Source organism: Homo sapiens, chromosome 8 (genome assembly GCF_000001405.40).
Source record: "Homo sapiens chromosome 8, GRCh38.p14 Primary Assembly".
NCBI classification, from domain to species: Eukaryota; Metazoa; Chordata; class Mammalia; order Primates; family Hominidae; genus Homo; species Homo sapiens.
Genome location: NC_000008.11, coordinates 28,425,987 through 28,444,952, shown reverse-complemented (window position 1 = coordinate 28,444,952; position 18,966 = coordinate 28,425,987). Strand labels below are relative to the sequence as shown.

Here is an 18,966-nt window from a genome sequence, read left to right as displayed (position 1 = left end):
TGATTGTGAAAATGAAGAAATAGGCCGGGCACGGTGGCTCACGCCTGTAATCCCAGCACTTTGGGAGGCCGAGGTGGGTGGATCACGAGGTTAGGGGATTGAGACCATCCTGGCAAATACGGTGAAACCCTGTCTCTACTAAAAATACAAAAAAAAAAAAAAAAAAAAAAAAAGTCCGGGCGCGGTGGCTCACACCTGTAATCCCAGCACTTTGGGAGGCCGAGGTGGGCAGATTGTGAGGTCAGGAGATCGAGACCATCCTGGCTAACACGGTGAAATCCCGTCTCTACTAAAAAAAATACAAAAAATTAGCTCGGCGAAGTGGCGGGTGCTTGTAGTCCAAGCTACTCGGGAGGCTGAGGCAGGAGAATGGCGTGAACCCAGGGCGGAGGCTGCAGTGAGCCAAGATCACGCCACTGCACTCCAGCCAGGGCAACAGAGCAAGACTCCGTCTCAAAAAAAAAAAAAAAAGAAAAGAAAAAATTAGCCGGGCATGTTGGCACACGCCTGTAGTACCAGCTACTCTGGAGGCTGAAGCAGGAGAATTGCTTGAACCCTGGAGGCGGAGGTTGCAGTGAGCCGAGATCGCGCCACTGCACTCCAGCCTGGGTGACAGAGCAAGACTCCGTCTCAAAAAAAAAAAAAAAAAAGAAGAAATATTGGATGTGAGGCAAGAGAAGAGGAAATGGATACTGAGGAAATCCAGTCAGGGGAACAAAGGAAAGTGAGGGTAAAACTCTGGTAACAGCCGCCATAGAGTGAATTTGTTACACTAGACACAGCCTAGGTGTGATTCCAGTGCAGAAAATCATGTATTCATTTGATACATGAATGTTACCAGAAAGGGTCTGGATCCAGACCCCCAGAGAGGGTTCTTGGATCTAGTGCAAGTTCATACAGTGAAAGCAAGTTTATTAAGAACCTAAAGAAATAAAAGAATGGCTACTCCATAGACAGAGCAGCCCCGAGGGCTGCTGGTTGCCGATTTTTATGGTTATTTGTTGATTGTATGCTAAACAAGGGGTGGATTATTCATGTCTCCCGCTTTTAGACCATATAGGGTAATTTTCTGACGTTGCCATGGCATTTGTAAACTGTCATGGCAGTAATCGGAGTGTAGCAGTGAGTATGACCAGAGGTCATTCCTGTCGCCATCTTGGTTTTGGTGGGTTTTGGCCGGCTTTTTTATTGCAACCTGTTTTATCATTAAGGTCTTTATGACCTGTATCTCGTGCTGACCTCCTATCTCATCCTGTGACTTAGAATGCCTTAACCGTCTGGGAGTGAAGCCCAGTAGGTTTCAGCCTCATTTTACCCAGCTCCTATTCAAGATGGAGTTGCCCTGGTTCAAACACCTCTGACAGAAAGTTCCCCCATCATTTGGACAGGTTTATGGAGGAAGATTTCAGGAGGACCTAGAGAAGCAGGTGAGCAGGACAAACTTAGGGGAGCACCTTCTAAAGGCAAAGATGAAAGTGACATACCCCCAAACCCTGACCCCCAAACCTAGGAGGTTACCTGAGACCTGAACACTTGAAGATTCCTCACGCCTAATATCAGGAAAGAGGCTTTGTTAAATGGAGAGGGCAGGAAGAGAGAAGATAATGGGAGAATAAAAGAGGACACATGGCCAGGGGGCAGTGGCTCATACCTGTCATCCCAGCACTTTGGGAGGCTGAGATGAGAGAATAATTGAGGCCAGGAGTTTGAGACTAGCCTGGGCAACACAGCAAAATCCCATCTCTACAATAAAACATTTTTTAATTAGCTGGGCATGGCAGGGGCATGCACCTGTAGTTCCAGCTACTCTGGAGGCTGAGGTGGGAGGATCACTTGAGCCCGGGAGTTTGAAGCTGTAGTGAGCCATGATCTCACCACTGCAGTCCAGCCTGGGTGACAGAGCGAGACCCTACCTAAAAAAAAAAAAAAGTACAAGTAATATTCCTTAGTCCATCTCTCTGGGGATGTGGCTGTCAGATCACTGACACCAGCCTCCCTTTTTGCCTGTCATTACTTAGAGCCTTCAGATGTGAGCGCTGTCTCCAAAAACAGAACCATACTTGGGGAAACGGTTTCACATCTTGCACATGTTGCGGTGAGCTTGTCATGTTTCCTATTATTTGATGAGTTTGAGGTTTCAAAACCCGCCACCTTGAAAGTGTGCCTGATTTGCTCTTCTGCTTTTGATTCTAAAGCGGACCCCAAGTGCTGCCTTAGTCAGAACCACTTAGTCTAACCACTTTTTAGGGTGAATGATTGATGAAAGATGGGCTGGGCGAGGTGGCTCACACCTGTAATCCCAGCACTTTGGGAGGCTGAGGCAGGCGGATCACCTGAGGTCAGGAGTTTGAGACTAGCCTGGCCAACATGGTGAAACCCCATCTCTACTAAAAATACAAAAATTAGCCAAGTGTGGTGGCGGGCACCTGTAATCTTAGCTACTTGGGAGACTGGGGTAAGAGAATCACTTGAACCCAGGAAGCAGAGGTTACAGTGGCTTGAGATCGCACCATTGCGCTCCAGCCTGGGCGACAGAGCAAGACTCTGTCTCAAAAAGAAGAAAAAAGATGGGAATAAAGCTTAGACCTGATTGCTAATCCTTTACAGTTTTGAAGGCTCCTTATGAAAATTATGTAAATGTCAAGACACTCCCATTACAATTAGTTATGAGAACAAGATTCCATATAAAACAAAGCAATTAAAAATACAAATTCCGGCCGGGCACAGTGGCTCACGCCTGTAATCCCAACATTTTGGGAGGCCGAGGAGGGCAGATCACGAAGTCAGGAGTTTGAGACCGGCCTGGCCAACGTGGTGAAACCCTGTCTCTACTAAAAATACAAAAATTAGGCATGGTGGTGCATGCCTGTAATCCCAGCTACTTGGGAGGCTGAGGCAGGAGAATCGCTTTAACCCGGGAGGCAGAGGTTGCAGTGAGCTGAGATCGCGCCACTGCACTCCAGCCTGGGTGACAGAGCAAGACTGTCTCAAAAAAAAAAAAAAAAATACACACACACACACACACACACACACACACACACATATATATATACACTGTGGAGTTTATATATATATATATAAACACACATATATATACACACATTATATATATATATAAACTTCACAGTAGTCAGATACCATCTTCATTAAACTTCAAAGATTTTCAACCTTGTGTAAAGACATACAATATTTTTTTTTTAGTTTTTTTTTTTTTTTGAGACGGAGTTTCACTCTTGTTGCCCAGGCTGGAGTGCAATGGCGCGATCTCGGCTCACTGCAACCTCCACCTCCCAGGTTCAAGCGATTCTCCTGCCTCAGCCTCCTGAGTAGCTGGGACTACAGGCACCTGCCACCACGCTTGGCTAATTTTTGTATTTTTAGTAGAGACAGGATTTCGCCATGTTGGCCAGGCTGGTCTCAAACTCCTGACCTCAGGTGATCCACCCACCTTGGCCTCCCAAAGTGCTGGGATTACAGGCGTGAGCCCCTGCGCCCAGCCCTATATTTTTAATTTTAACAGCAGATGCATGTAATTCTTAGGGAAGGAAGGAGCTGTCTTCTTGAGGGAGAGACTTTGCTAAACTCATAGGGAGAGAGGAGGCCTTGAGAGCAAGGATGTCAGCAGACTCTAGGACTTCAGAGGCAGGGAAAACCTGCTGGTCTAGAGATTAGGGGACGAATTTGTTGTTTCTGCTCCTGGAAGGGAAGAGGTGGAGGAGGAGAGGGAGTAGGGAGGAAAGAGGTAGGAGGAAGAGGAGGAGAGAAGCCAACATTAGGTAGGGGAGAGAGGCGGGAACAGTATTAGATACCACCTGTTCCAATTAAACCTGTTTGCCGTTACTGGGATGTAAATACCTCCCTCCATCTCTGCAGTAAATTCTACTCCATTTACACATGGAAGCAAGATCTTAGAAGTCTAGAAAGCTATGAAAATGAACACTCCTTAGGACAATTCACAGAAAACAAGGAGATGGGCTTTGAACTTCCGAGGCCCTGGAATTGGGCTAAGGGGACCCTAGCTGACATCTTGTTTCTTTTCTTTGTTTTTTCCTTTATCAAGTATAAACACAAATACCCTTTGTCTAGCACTGAACTTTTACTTGGGAGTTAGATGTCCTCACTTTCTAGGTCCTGGTTCAGCCATGGATTTCAAAAAGCCTGCCGTTTCAGAGCATTCACTTAAATACAAGTAACAAAAGTCTTTAATTGCCTGCTTACCCTGATTGCCTTAGATTAGCCCTTATCTTTTCCTGTGCTCTGCTAATTCCAGCCTCTGAAATTACCTTCTTCACCTCTTTCCAGGGATAACTTTACTCTTAGTGTCCTGATTTTTTAAAGTGCTTCTTCAAGCTTTCTCACCTTTTTTCCTTCACTCAAAAGGGGTGGGGGGGAACCACACACAGGAATATACTCTAAAGTGATTCCTGGATCATATTGTGGAATGAACAATGGTTTAAGAATCAGGAAACCCCAGTTCTAGTTTCAACTGTACCACTAATGAGTAGTCACTCAAATTCCCAGAGTCTTTGTTTCCTCATTTATAAAATGAGAGTTTGGTGGGTCCAGTGGCTGGGAAACCCCAAGGATGGAGGAGGCCGAGGTGGAAGGATGGCTTGAGGCCAGGAGTTTGAGACCAGCCTGGGCAACATAGTGAGACCCTGTCTCTGCAAAAAAATAAAATAATTAGCAAGGTGTGGTGTCGCATGCCTGTAGTCCCAGCCACTTGGAAGGCTGAGGTAGGAGGATCACTTGAGCCCAGGAGGTTAAGGGGGCAGTGAGCCATGATTGTGCCACTGCATTCCAGCCTGGGTGACAGAGCACTTAAATAAATAATAATAATAATAATAGTAATAAAATAAAATGAGAGTTTGCTATGGGGCCCCATGGGTTTCTAAGCATTCACACCCCTTTCTCCCCGATGCCTGAAGAACACAGCTGTAATTAAAATGGCTTTATGCAGAATACAAAAAAAAAAAAATCCGTTACATTCATGAATCCTAATTTAAAACCAACACAAACTATTTTATGTTTCCAGTCTTTTTCTTTGAACTTTAGGAAGTATAATGAACCAAAACAGAAGAATTTATAGAACAGAGTTTCTGCAGAAGCTTCCTTGCAGGCAATCTTTGATATACTTCTTATCAAATTCTGATGCACTTCTCAGGTGTTGGGGGTTTTTTAAATTTAAATTTAATTTTTTTTTTTTTGAGACAGGGTCTCACTCTGTCACTCAGGCTGGAGTGCAGTGGCGTGATCACAGCTCACTGCAGCCTCAACAACTCCCAGAGCTCAGGGGATCCTCCCACCTCAGCCTCCCAGGTAGCCGGGACCTGTGCACCACCAAGTCTGGCTAATTGTGGTTTTTGGGGGTATTTTTTGTAGAGACAGGGTCTCGCTATTTTGCCTGGGCTCGTCCCAAACTCCCGGCCTCAAGCGATCCTCCTGCCTCAGCTTCCCAAAGTGCTGGGATTACAGGCATGAGCCACTGTGCACGGCCGGGTGTTCATTTTATAACAATGTCTGTTTGGTTTGAATGTGCAGAACCAAAAATATCCATTGGAGAGGTTTTTAACTATTTAATTCAAGCAATGAAATTCCTGGGAATTCCATTTGGAAGGAAGAATAACAAAGAATATGGGCTTTGCAGTCAGACAGACCTGGGCTCTTGTACTAAACAATATGACTTCAGATAAGTTACTTAACCTCTCTAGGCCTCAGTTTCTTCATCTGTAAAATGGGAATAATGACACCTACCTAAATCCCCAGTATATTATATTTAGCATGTAATATGTGTTCGTGCTCTCATTCAATATTATTTTTCTATTTTCTTTTCTTTTCTTTTCTTTTTTTTTTTTTTTGAGACAGGTTCTCACTCTATTGCCCAGGCTGGAGTGCAGTGGGGCCATCTCACTGCAACCTCTGCCTCCTGGGTTCAAACGATTCTCCTGCCTCAGCCTCCCAAGTAGCTTGGATTACAGGCACTTGCCACCACGCCCGGCTGATTTTTGTATTTTTAGTAGAGATGGGGTTTCACCATATTGGCTAGTCTGGTCTCAAACTCCTGACCTCAAGAAGTCCATTTGCCTCAGCCTCCCAAAGTGCTGGGATTACAGGCATAAGCCACCACACCTGGCCTATTTTGCTTTCTAAGGACACAGATTGGGATGCAAATAGCCTAAGTTCAATGCCCATCGTACCACTATTTTAGTAGTCTGGTGATTTTGGCCAAGTTGTGTAACCTCTCTGAGCCTCTTTTTCCTCATGTGTAACATGGAGTTAGTAACAAGACTAACGAACGTCACTGAATTGGGAGGAGGATGTAAAGCATTAGCACAGTACCTAGCTCAAAGCTAGTGGTAGTAATAGTAGTAGTAACAGCAGTAAAAATCATACTAAGCCATCACCCTGAGCCCACAAGGAAAGATGAGAGAAATCTGATGGTGAGCTGTGGCTGAGAGACAGGTGGAGGAGGGACCTGCCAGGCAGCCAGAAGGCATTGGTGGGAGGCCCTGGCCCATAGAACAAGAGTCTCCTTTTTGCTTTTTCCTTGACCGTCCCCATTTCTCTTCTTCTTCCCCCTTTGTCTTTTCTCTTCCTTATAGTCAGTTTCATTTAGTTTTTATTTTATTTATTTTTTTAGACACAGTCTCACTCTGTTGCCCAGGCCGGAATGCAGTGATGCAATCTTGGGTCACTGCAGCCTCTGCCTCTCAGGTTCAAGTAATTCTCATGCCTCAGCCTCCCAAGTAGCTGGGATTACAGGTGTGTACCACCACGCCTGGCTAATTTTTGTATTTTTAGTAGAGACGGGGTTTCTCCATGTTGCCCAGGCTGGTCTCGAGCTCCGGGTCTCAAGCTATCTGCCTGCTTCAGCCTCCCAAAGTGCTGAGATTACAGATGTGAGCCACTGCACCTGGCCCTTATAGTCAGTTTCCACTGTGTAAGAAACAGTTGCATCAATAGCTGTGTGGAATATAAGCCACATATTTTCAGCTCCTACATGGCCTCCGTATAGTCTTGTGCCTACGTGTGGACTCCTCATCATTGTGGTGTTTCTTGTTTTTTCTTGTTCTTTTTTTAGAGACAGAGTCTCGCTCTGTTGCCCATTCTGGACTGGAGCAGTGCAATCAGAGCTCACTGCAGCTTTGACCTCCTGGGCTCAAGTGATCTTCCTGCCTTAGCCTCCTGAGTAGCTAGGACTACAGATGCACACCACCACACCTGGTTAATTTTTCAAATTTTGGTAGAGACAGGGTCTCACTATGTTGCCCAGGCTGTTCTTGAATTCCTGGCCTCAAGCAGTCCTCCCGCCTTGGCCTCCCCGAGCACTGGGATGACAGGTGTGGGTCACGGCGCCTAGCCAGTGTTTTGTTTCTTACTCCATGCTCCTAGACTGAAGAATGCATGTGTGTTGAACTCAGTGCCATGGATTATGTGCTATGTGCACTCCACAGCCTAAGAACTACAATCTTGGTTGTTGTTAATTTTTGATACCTAAAAGATGAATAAGCCTCCCTGGGAAGAATCCTGGGGGCAAAATCAACTCTCAGGTGAGCCCGCTACTTGGAGTCTTTGCATTTCTCCTTTGCCTGGAAGAGAGCCGAGTTTACTTGTTGTGTCTTGTTGCCTCTTGTTTCATCAGGCTATCCATAATAAATTACTGTGGCATTTCCAATGGAAATGATTCTACCTGCTCTCGTTCACTTAGCATTTAGACCAATGCCAAATGGCTATTTGTTTTTATTTTAACACAAAATATGTGACACAAATTAACTTCTATTCAGGACCTACCAGAAGAGAACTGTGTTTGTGATTTATGTAATATTATTAGTTATATACGTATTTGTTATAACATGCTTTAGTCACTGTTACCATTGGGGTTTAATATATATGTATGTAGGTTGGATGCAGTGGCTCATGCCTGTAATCCCAGCACTTTGGGAGGCTGAGGCAGGGGGATCACTTGAGTCCAGGAGTTTGAGATGAGCCTGGGTAACATAATGAGGCCCCACCAATCTCTACAAAAAATGAAAGTTAGCTAGGTATGGTGGTGCACACCTGTGGTCCCAGCTACTGGGGAGGCTCAGGTGGGAGGATTGCTTGAGCCTGAGAGGTCGAGGCTGCAGTGAGCTATGATTGTACTACTGCACTTCAGCCTGGGTGACAGTGAGACCCTGTCTTAAAAATATATATATAACATAAAATAAGATATATGTATGTAGCATGTGTGTGTGTATGTGTGTTTCGTAATATGGTATTTCACCACAAACTACACTGGAAGCCAATTTTTTAAGACACAGGTGTTTTGAAATATGAGTTCACTCAGACCTTATGGCCTTTGAACATTTGCACCATCCCTACCTATTTCACCTACTTGGAAGGCTGAAAGATGTAGTCACATAGTCTTGGATTTGAATTTCAAAACCCTGGCTCGAGTTGCTTAGCCTTCCTCTGCAGCTAAAAATATTACCCCAAGGTTACTTAAAAGATAAAACAAACACAAAGCCAGGCCTGTGGATTCTTTAAAACTGCGTTGGTTATTTCTTTCTAACACCTTGCCTCTGTTTCCGCCAGAAGCATAAGCGGGGAGTAAAAGGGAATGTTTTGCTCATAGGCGTTGGCCAAAGCAGGGCCCTCTGGAAGGTGTCCCTACAGGACTGAGCAGCTTTCTGGGCTCCTGAGCAGACAGGAGACAGCAGGGGTCCTTCCCCAGAATTCCTAGATGGAAAGTCCTTGAAGCAACTCCATCCTGAGGATTAAGCATCCTATCAACCGGATGAAGCTGGGACTGGGACTAGCATCAGCCTCTTAGGCCTTCTTCTTAGAAGAAGGCCCCCGAGGGAGGACCTCCTCAGCCATCTCCTCTGCACTCTGAGCCTTTGTCTCTACCCATGACCTCAGCCCCCAACCTATGCTTTAGGCAATTTACAGGGGTGAGTTTAAACTGTGCTTGCACTGCTAAAACCAACAACTTCTGATTTTATGTTTTTCAAACACAATAATCCATATTTATATACAATATTACCACATCACTCTGATAGCAGCAGGAGGCAGCCAAATGCCTGGACAGATAGGGGTGGGTCCCTGGTGAAATCCCACCGCCAAGCTATAGACAGTTGAAAGCCTGAAAGCCACGCTACAAGTCAAATCCACAGACCAATTGAGAATCTGTCTTCCCATTTGGCGTGCTTTCCCCTGATTGATCCCCACCCTTCACCTATTTTACATGTACCTACCCTTTCCTAATCGGTTTTCTACAACATTGTGCCCACCTTTGAATGGTGTCTTTGCTTTAACCTTTTCTGTATACTCACAAACCAATCAGCATGCACTCCCCATTCTGAGTCCATAAAAAGCCCTGACCCAGCCACGTGGGGAGAGAGAAACCACCCAACTGTGGGGGTGGGGCATTTCCTTACCCCTCTGCATCCCCTCTTTGCTGAGAGCTGTTCTGTCCTCAATAAAATTACCTGCCCTCAGGCCAGGCACGGTGGCTCACACCTATAACCCCAGCACTTTGGGAGGCCGAGGTGGGCAGATCACCTGAGGTCAGGAGTTCAAGACCAGCCTGGCCAACATGGTGAAACCCCATCTCTGCTAAAAATACAAAAAAAATTAGCTGGGTATGGTGGTAGGTGCCTGTAATCCCAGCTACTCGGGAGGCTGAGGCAGGAGAATCACTTGAACTTGGGAGGCAGAGGTTGCAGTGAGCCAGGATCGCACCATTGCACTCCAGCCTGGGCAACAAGAGTGAAACTCCGTCTCAAAAAAAAAAAAAAAATCTGCCCTCATCACCCTTCAGTTGTCAGTGTGACCTCATTCTTCTCGGATGCTGGGCAAGAGCTCAGGACCCACCAAGTGTGGGTACCAAAAAGGTTGTCACACTGGCCTTTTGCCCTCACCAGTGGAGGGCAGCTGCCCCACACGACAGGGCCAGGGGCCGACTGAGCTGCTAACATGCTGCCGTCCATTGGGCTATGGACAACGGAACTAAAAGAGCTAATTAGCACACTGACACCCCCTCTGGGGCTTCAGGGTCATGGGCACCCTTGTCTGGGAGCCACCACGTTCCCTTGAGGTAACATGCCTGGCCTGGCCTCGGGCCCTGCACGGAGCTTGCTCCTGTGTTTGAGCTTAGAGCGGCCGACTGGGTCCCGCACTCACTCACTCACTCGCATGCTCCCTCCCGCAAGGGGCTGAGCACAGCAGGCCCAGTAGACAGGGCACCCCTGCTGCAAGTCTGGCAAAGGGGCCGAGAAAAATCCTGCATCAACTCCTCAACTGGGAGTCATAATAAAACGTTGAGAGGGAGATTTTTTTAAAGGGAGGAGGTGAATCTTCTACAAAGTGAAGATTGTCACAAAAAGTGAAGATGTGGTAAGATTCTTTACCACATCACAGGCATGTTGTGAAGAAGAAATGAATTAATAAATGCATGTTAGCACAATGCCTGGCTGTCAGGTATTTGCAGTTATTACTGTCATTGGTATTCCTAGAAGAAGGACTGGCACAAAGCAGGTGCTGTCATTGTTGTTACTATATTTATCTATTTTCCACATCCACTTGCTTCTTTACCTAATGTGTTCACTTAACTGATCCTTGGGTTGATCCAATGGTGTTGTTTGCATCAGTGATCGTTTGCAGATGTCTGCAAATAACATGAATGGACAACAAACAAAAAAATCAATCAGGGGCCAGGTGCAGTGGTTCACACCTGTAATCCCAGCACTTTGGGAGGCCAAGGTGGGCAGATCACCTGAGGTCAGGAGTTCAAGACCAGCCTGGCCAACGTGGTGAAACCCCGTCTCTACCAAAAATACAAAAATTAGTTGGGTGTGGTGGCAGGTGCCTGGAATCCCAGCTACTCAGTAGGCTGAGGCAGAAGAATAGCTTGAGCCCAGGAGGCAGAGGTTGCAGTGAGCTGAGATCGTGCCACTGCACTCCAGCCTCGGCACCAGAGTGAGACTCTATCTCAAAAAAAAAAAAAAAAAAAAAATCAGGGAGTGAAAAACACAGGTCTGTAGACAAGCTGGTATATACAGGCTGTTCCTGTTTCTACCTCTTCTTGGGCCTTAGCCTCCTGTGGGACCCTCGTCTTTCTTGGGCCCCTCACCCTCAATAGCCTCTTGGCATTCTCACCCACTTCTCTGTGCCCAATAAAATGGCATCCAGCCTGAAAAAAGGAATTTTCTATCCCCATGCAAAGTCCACCTGCAAGGTTGTTTCAGCCATTGCCCTGAGATGAGAAAGAAGAAGGAAGCATTGGTATGTTTATCATTAATGAACAAGGATTTTACAGGCACTGAACTAGCCCTAGGGAGATAATCATAAGATACAGCCCCTGCCCTCAAGAGCTTCCAGGCTACAGGGGAGAGCTTCCGGCCCAGGAAGGGAAAAGTCCCGGGAATCTTGGGCAGGCAGTTGTATTAAGGTTCATGCCTCTCCCCACTGGTACTGGAAACCTAGCAGGAAATATCAGGTTGGAGGTACCTATGGGACCACAAGTATACGAGTTCAGAAGAGGGCTGAATAGATGGGCCCGGAGCCCAGGGGAACAGCAGGGCAACAGAAACACATCCAGCCATGGAAGATTCAGGCGCTGATTGGCCAGGAAGCAGGCCAAGAACAGAACCCTGGAGAATTCCAATGTCAAACGCATGGCATTGCATTTCTCTTCTATTTCCTTCGCTTTAAAGACACTATAACGGCACATCAGGATATTGGGTAAATACCTCTAGAAAAAGAACAGAAAGCTCAACTGATGAGAAAAATATCTTTGAATTACCTGATCCCATCCCTCTTCATAGGGACAGATGGAGGATAGGAAAATTATTTTGTTGTTGTTGTTATGTTTTGTTTGTTTGTTTGTTTTTTGTTTGTTTTTTTTTTTTTTGGACGAAGTCTCACTCTGTCGCCGAGGCTGGAGTGCAGTGGTGCAATCTCGGCTCACTGCAACCTCCGCCTCCCAAGTTCAAGTGATTCTCCTGTCTCGGCCTCCCAAGTAGCTGGGATTACAGGAGTGCACCACCACGCCCCGCTAAATTTCTTTGGTATTTTTAGTAGAGATGGGGTTTCACCATGTTTGCTAGGCTGGTCTCGAATGCCTGACCTTAGGTGATCCACCCGCCTTGGCCTCCCAAAGTGCTGGGATTACAGGCGTGAGCCACCATGCCTGGCTGGAATATTCTTATGATGGTGTTCCAGGGCAGCACTAGGAATGCTGATGGACGGCATGGCCATTGGCAACGTCCACCTACCAGAAAGCAGACAGCTGCAGCAGAGGAGGCTGCACATTCGTAAAGGGTCATTCATGTTGGTGTCGTTTGTGAAAGCAAACGTTGAAAATGGCCCAAATATCTATCGGTATGGTTCATCTGGATGTGAACTGCTCTACAGCCATTGAAAGACTAGGGAAGTTCTTCCTGTATTAATTTGGGTTTTTGTTGTTGTTGTTGTTTTGTTTTGTTTTGTTTTGTTTTGAGATGGAGTCTCACTCCATTGCCCAGGCTGGAGTGCAGTGGTGCAATCTTGGCTCACTGCAACCTCCGACTCCCAGGTTCAAGCGATTCTCCTGCCTCAGCCTCCTGAGTAGCTGGGATTACAGGCACCCGCCACCACGCCCCGCTAATTTTTGTATTTTTAGTAGGGATAGGGTTTCACCATGTTGGCCAGGCTGGTCTCGAACTCCTGACCTCAGGTGATCCGCCCACATCGGCCTCCCAAAGTGCTGGGATTACAGGCGTGAGCCACTGCACCCGGCCTCGTGTATTGATTTGTAACAGTCACACACACACACACACACACACACACACACACACACACACTCCATACATAGCCTCTCACATATATAGTGAGCAAACAGCAGTGGTGTTCACAGCATGCTGCCAGTTGTGTGAAAAAGGAAAGGGGGACAGTACATTTGCGTTTTATGTCTACGTTTGCTCACTACATATGCAGTATCACTGGAAGTAGACAAAACCAAAAACAAAACAGAAAAAAAAACACAACCCTGGTAACTTTGAGAAAAGGAACTAGGAGGCTCAAGGATGAGGTGGGGGGAGATTTTTCGCTGAATGCTTTTGTAATTTTTGAATATTGAGCTATGTAGAAAAGTAACCTATTCAAAAAATGAACAAGCTTAATTATTTTCAAAGAGTGAGAAAAGCAAAAATAATCCCTGAGGAGCCATAGGAAGATGCCCTTTAGGGAAGATTCTCACAGAGAATAGAGGTGTCATGAAATGTGCCTTGCCGCGTCTGGAGGTGCTCAGAAGTTAAACCATGTGAAACTAGTCCTCAGTTAGCCCGCTAAGATGCTTCTTGCTGTTAAGTCTATGTGCTATGAAGACGGACCTTTCTGGGGGAAGAAGGTGGGGGTGGATTCACAGCCAAGGGAAAAGATCAGTAGGAAAGAAAAGGTTTTGGAGACCCCAACATTGGTATAGAAGAAACTTCTAGTTATTTCAGCCAGATAGTCAGGTGCTATAGAGCAGGATCCAGAAAGATTTTTACCCATTTATAGGACTTCCCCATGTTTTCTCCCTTAAATCTTGTCTTTTCTCTTGTAATAATGGACATGAAAGTCTCAAAATGAAGAGGGTCTGTCAGCTTGTGTTCCGGGACCACAAGGAATGGTGGCCGAAGGAGACCATCTTCCCTCAGCCCATCTTGGAGGGACGAGAAATGCCATAGTCTGGATGGGTGGTGACAGCTACCAAGAGGAGAGGAGAGCAGGGGAGGCCCTGGGGCCTGCCATGGTGAAAAGGGAGGGCTGTGAGGAGCCTGCCTGGACCTGTGAACTGCCCGGGGACTCAGGAGAAAGGGGTTTTGCAAATGCAGTGACAGATAAGCGTTGCATGGTAATAGGGTTAAATTTGAAACTGTTACAGGTGAGATGTGACTAGCCCATTCTTGTGTCATAGAGAGCTAGGCCTTTTCTTCATTTAACAGGTATTATTTTATTTTATTTATTTATATTTTTTGAGATGGAGTTTCACTCATGTTGCCCAGGCTGGAGTGCAATGGCGCGGTCTTGCTCACTGTCACCTCTGCCTCCCAGGTTCAAGAGATTCTCCTGCCTCAGTCTCCTGAGTAGCTGGGATTACAGGCACCCACCACCATGCCCAGCTAGTTTTTTTCATTTTTAGTAGAGACAGGGTTTCACCATGTTGGCCAGGCTGGTCTCAACTCCTGATCTCAGGTGATCCGCCCGCCTTGGCCTCCCAAAGTGCTAGGATTACAGGCATGAGCCACTGCGCCTGGCCATTCAACAGGTATTATTTTTATCTTCATTGTTACTAAAAGAGCATAGAGGAAGCTTCCTGTTTATTTTCTTACCTTATGCTGATCTTGAAACAGCAATGAAAATACTTCTGCTACAGGGACCTTAAACAACACCGAAAACTTCAAACGAGGGAAGATTATTTACTCCCATCTCTTACCCCTTTTCCTTTTCGATGCTAACAACTTGCTACTTTAACCCCAGTTTTGCCCACTCTTTCCCAGAAAAATCAACAAACATGTCTGCACCTACTATAGGCAGACACCTGTCGATTCAATGAAGTGTAAGCTTTCAGCTTTGGCCGGGCACAGTGGGCCTGTAATCCCAGCACTTTGGAAGGCCAAAGCGGGAGGATTGCTTGAGCTCGGGAGTTCAGGACCAGCCTAGGCAACATAGGAAGACCCTCATCTCTACAAAAGAAAAAGTAAAAAAATTAGCCAGGCATGGTTGTGCATACCTGTAGTCCCAGCTACTCGGGAGGCTGAGGTGGGAGGATTGCTTGAACCCAGGAGGTCAAGGCTGCAGTGAGCTGTGATTATGCCACTGCACTCCAGCCTTGGAGACCGAGTGAGACCCTGTCTCAAAAATAAAATAAAATACAGATTTCAGTTTTGCTTGCAGGGAGTTTGCAGCCTCATTGGGGGACAAAGAATTACACTTAGAAGTGAGTACTAATGCTTTAGAGCATACGTTCAACACAAAGCCAGAGAAGTCAATAATAAAGGCTTCGGGAATCCACCTGCTGGAAACTTCCTGTGGATGGAGACATGCAAGCTTCTTGCAGGAAGGCAGGCCTGGAAGGACAGGTTAGACTTACGGGAGGACTGCAGAGAGCACTTCAGGCAGGTGTGGAGCTTCCTTGTGGAATGAGAGGGAGCACGTTAGCTGGAGGGGAAGACCAGGGAGCTGTCATCGGCGGATATCATTGATGAGTCAAAGAAAGTCTAAAGTAGGATTTTCATAGACTTACAGAAACCCTGTGTATTGCAAACATACCCACCCACCACGGTGTTAGAGAGATGTGACAAGGACTCTGATCTGACTCCTGTGACTTGCCAGCTTAGTATGGAGTAACGGGGGGGCATTGTGCTTGGGGGAGGCTACGATATCTGTGTTCAGCCCAATCCTCTTAGGTCTCTCCTTGCACAGTTGGAACCAAGATAAGGGCGAACTTTGAAGAGTGCCTCACTCTCTCTCCCTTCAAGCTCAGCTCGGATTATTTCTTTCTTTTCCTCTCTCCATTCTCTTCCCTTTCCTGCTCGCGGCCAGATGTCGAGGAGAAATCCCTTCCCACTGTGAGTTTCGGTTGTGATATCAACCTGTGACATTTGCCTTTTTAGAGAGATCGTGTGCATGTATTGATTAATGGAGAGTGTAAATTATGGGAACAGGCTGGGCACAGTGGCTCACGCTGATAATCTCAGCACTTTGGGAGGCAGAGGCGAGAGGATCAAAGAATTCAAGACCAGCCTGGGCAACATAGGGAGACCTCATCTCTAAAAAATATCTATTTTAAAAAATATTTAAAATTAAAATATGGGAATGATGTCAATACTCTCATCTAAAAATCCCAAGTCTCTAGCCCCAGCTGTGACACTTTTTAGCGGTGTGAACTTGGACTGTCACTCAAATTCCTCAGTTTCATTTATTTGCAAAATGAAACTTATTAATACTATCCTCTCTACCACATGTGATCTTGAGGTTCAGATGAAATAAAGTTAGTGAGAGCACTTTGGACGCTAAAGACCGTATTATCTGTAGCTCAGGGTGAAGATTGCATGGGGGCAGAGGGGAGTGAAGTTGGGAAATCTCAATAAATCCCATCCAGCCCTATAATTTTGTAAAATCGTTTTATGTCATTAAAAATAAGTTTAACTAGATAGCTCCCTTGGTATTTCAATAACCCTCGCTTTCATGATTCCTTTTTCCTTTCTAGATGTCCCTAAGTGCCAGCTCTCCCCTAAAAGTTCCAGCTCATCTCGCCTGGCCTCCCCCTGAGTCAGTGGGACTCCCAGACACTGCCACCACAGCTGAAATTCTCATGCAGCATCCTCACAGGCACCCTGGGCCCCAAGCATGACTCATCCAGGTTCCAGAGCCAAAGTGGACTGAACATGGAAAGACTTTTATTATAGAAATGACAAGATGCTTTGCACAGTGGAGAGCTGAATTTACTTGGCTCCCATTAGAAACTCTTTCAGCTTAAGTACTTATTGTGGTAGTGAGTCCTACGGTATTTCAGTAAAAAGGAATTCATGGCATAAATGTGGACAGATTTACGGATGTAGAAACATGATGATAGATATCATGAGGTTGGTGATGGGACATATGATGGCACCATTGGTAATATTGGGTGGGTGAGGCAGGTCCCAGAAGGCTACAGGCTCACTCCCAAGGCTGCATGAGCAGTTGAATGGAGGGGCTGTTTACCGTGGTATCTTAGTTTGCTAGGGCTGCACCACAGACCGGGAACCTTCGACAACAGAAATTTATTTCCTTGCGGTTCTGGAAGCTAGACGTCCAAGATCTGGCAGGGTTGGTTTCTTCTGAGGCCTCTCTCTGGGCTTGTAGATGCCGTCTTCTCCCTGCATTCTCATGTGGTCATCCCTCTGTATGTGTCTGTTTCTTAATTTTTCCTTCTCCTTCTTTATTTTTTTATTTTTTTTTTTCTTTTCTGAGATGGAGTTTTGCTCTTTTTGCCCAGGCTGGAGTGTAATGGCACAACTTCGGCTCACTGCAACCTCTGCCTCCCGGGTTCAAGCAATTCTCCCACCTCAGCCTCTGGAGTAGCTGGGATTACAGGCACCTGCCACGACACCCAGCTAATTTTTTGTATTTTTAGTAGAGACGGGGTTTCACCATATTGGCCAGGCTGGTCTCGAACTCCTGACCTCAGGTGATCCACTGGCCTTGGCCTCCCAAAGTGCTGGGATTACAGGTGTGAGCCACCACGCCTGGCCTTAATTTCTTCTTAAAAGGATGCCAGTCCTATTGGGTTACAGCCCACCCTAACCACCTCATTTAACCCTAACCATCTCTTTAAAGACTCTATCTCCAAATACAGTCACATTCTGGGGTCCCAGGGGTTAAGATTTCCGCATAGAATTTGTGGGAGACATAGTGTAGCCCATAACACATGCTGTGGGCAGAGTTAAGAGGGTGAAGAAGGAGCCGGGTACAGTGGTTCACACCTGTAATCCTAGCACTTTGGGAGGCTGAGGTGGGCATATCGCTTGAGCCCCTGAGTTCAAGACCAGCCTGGGCAACATGGTGAAACCCCATCTCACAAAAAAAAAAAAAAAAAAAGAAAGAAAAAAAGAAAAGAAAAAATTAGCTTGGCATGGTGGTACATGCCTGTAGTCCTAGCTACTCTGGAGGCTGAGGCATGATGAGAATCTCTTGAGCCCGGAAGGCAGAGGTTGCGGTGAGCCGAGATGGCGCCACTGTACTCCAGCCTGGGCAACAAAGTGAGACTCTGTCTCAAAATAAATAAATAAAAAGAGCATGAAGAAGGGCTGGTGAAGTGCCCAGGAACTGGCAATAGCAGAAAACCTTATCATCCCTTAGGCTGGAGAGCAAAGGGGAGAGAGAAGGTGGAGTTCCTGGGGCCAGTGAGAGCTGTAGCCACGGAAGAGGCGCCGTCCACCAGAACATGTGCAGTGTGGCCAAGCAACACAGCCACGTCAAAACTGAAGCCTGGGAGCTGGGTACAGTGGCTCACACCTGTAATCCCAGCACTTTGGGAGGCCGAGGTGGGAGCACTAGAGCCTAGGAGTTTGAGACCAGCCTGGGCAACATAGTGAGACTCCATCTCTAGAAAACAAAACCAAACAACAACAACAAAAAAAACCCCAAGGCATAGCAGGGAGGGAAGAGGGAGAAGACCCCACCTCTCTCCCTTCCCAGCCTTCCTCACTTTCAACAGCACCTCCCTTTGATTAAACCCATCTGGAAGTCAGAGCAGAGAACCCCAGAGTGCTGGCAGATGCCAGCTTCCCAAGGCAGAGACAAGGCTGGCAAGGGTGGCCCGTGGGTCTGGGTGGGGAGGGTGGGATATGAGTGGGATGCTGGGGAATGACCAGCACAGCGGAAGAAAAGCACACACTTCCAGGGGAGGAACTGTCACTGTGTTTGAGCAATGGGAAAGGGCGTGGAGGAGTTATTAGAAAACAGAAAATATCACTTAGCTGCAAATATATTAGTCATACATTCTGAACTAAAACACCTACTCATGTAACCAATTCAGTGTCCTAGAAGTTGCCATTCTAGGATTCTTTTTTTTTTGAGACAGAGTCTCATTCTGTCGCCCAGGCTGGAGTGCAGTGGCGCGATCTCGGCTCACTGCAACCTCCGCTTCACAGGTTCAAGCAGTTCTCCTGCCTCAGCCTCCCGAGTAGCTGGGATTACAGGTCTCCGCCACCACGCCCGGCTAATTTTTGTATTTTTAGTAGAGACAGGGTTTCACCATGTTGGTCAGGCTGGTCTCGAACTCCTGACCTCAGGTGATCCACCTGCCTTGGCCTCCCAAAGTGCTGGGATTACGGGTGTGAGCCACCGCACCCAGCCTCTAGGATTCTTATTTATCTAGGTAAAGCAGAATGATAGAAAAACAAATGTTAGCTGGGTGCAGGGGTTCATGCCTGTAATCCCAACACTTTATGAGGCCAAGTTTGAGCCTGAGAGTTC

General features: G+C 46.6%; 1 protein-coding gene across 2 annotated transcripts in view; it reads left to right on the top strand.

The window, feature by feature from the left end:
* The window catches only part of FBXO16 (F-box protein 16), a 61,818-nt gene extending 45,277 nt beyond the window's left edge, over window positions 1-16,541 (top strand). For both annotated transcript variants that reach the window (NM_001258211.2, NM_172366.4), the window contains 2 exons: window positions 15,550-15,575; window positions 16,217-16,541. In NM_001258211.2, the coding sequence (NP_001245140.1) occupies window positions 15,550-15,575; window positions 16,217-16,226 (36 nt within the window). In that variant the 3' untranslated portion in view covers window positions 16,227-16,541. The remainder of the gene's footprint in view (window positions 1-15,549; window positions 15,576-16,216) is intronic.
* The last annotated feature ends 2,425 nt before the right edge of the window (window positions 16,542-18,966 follow it).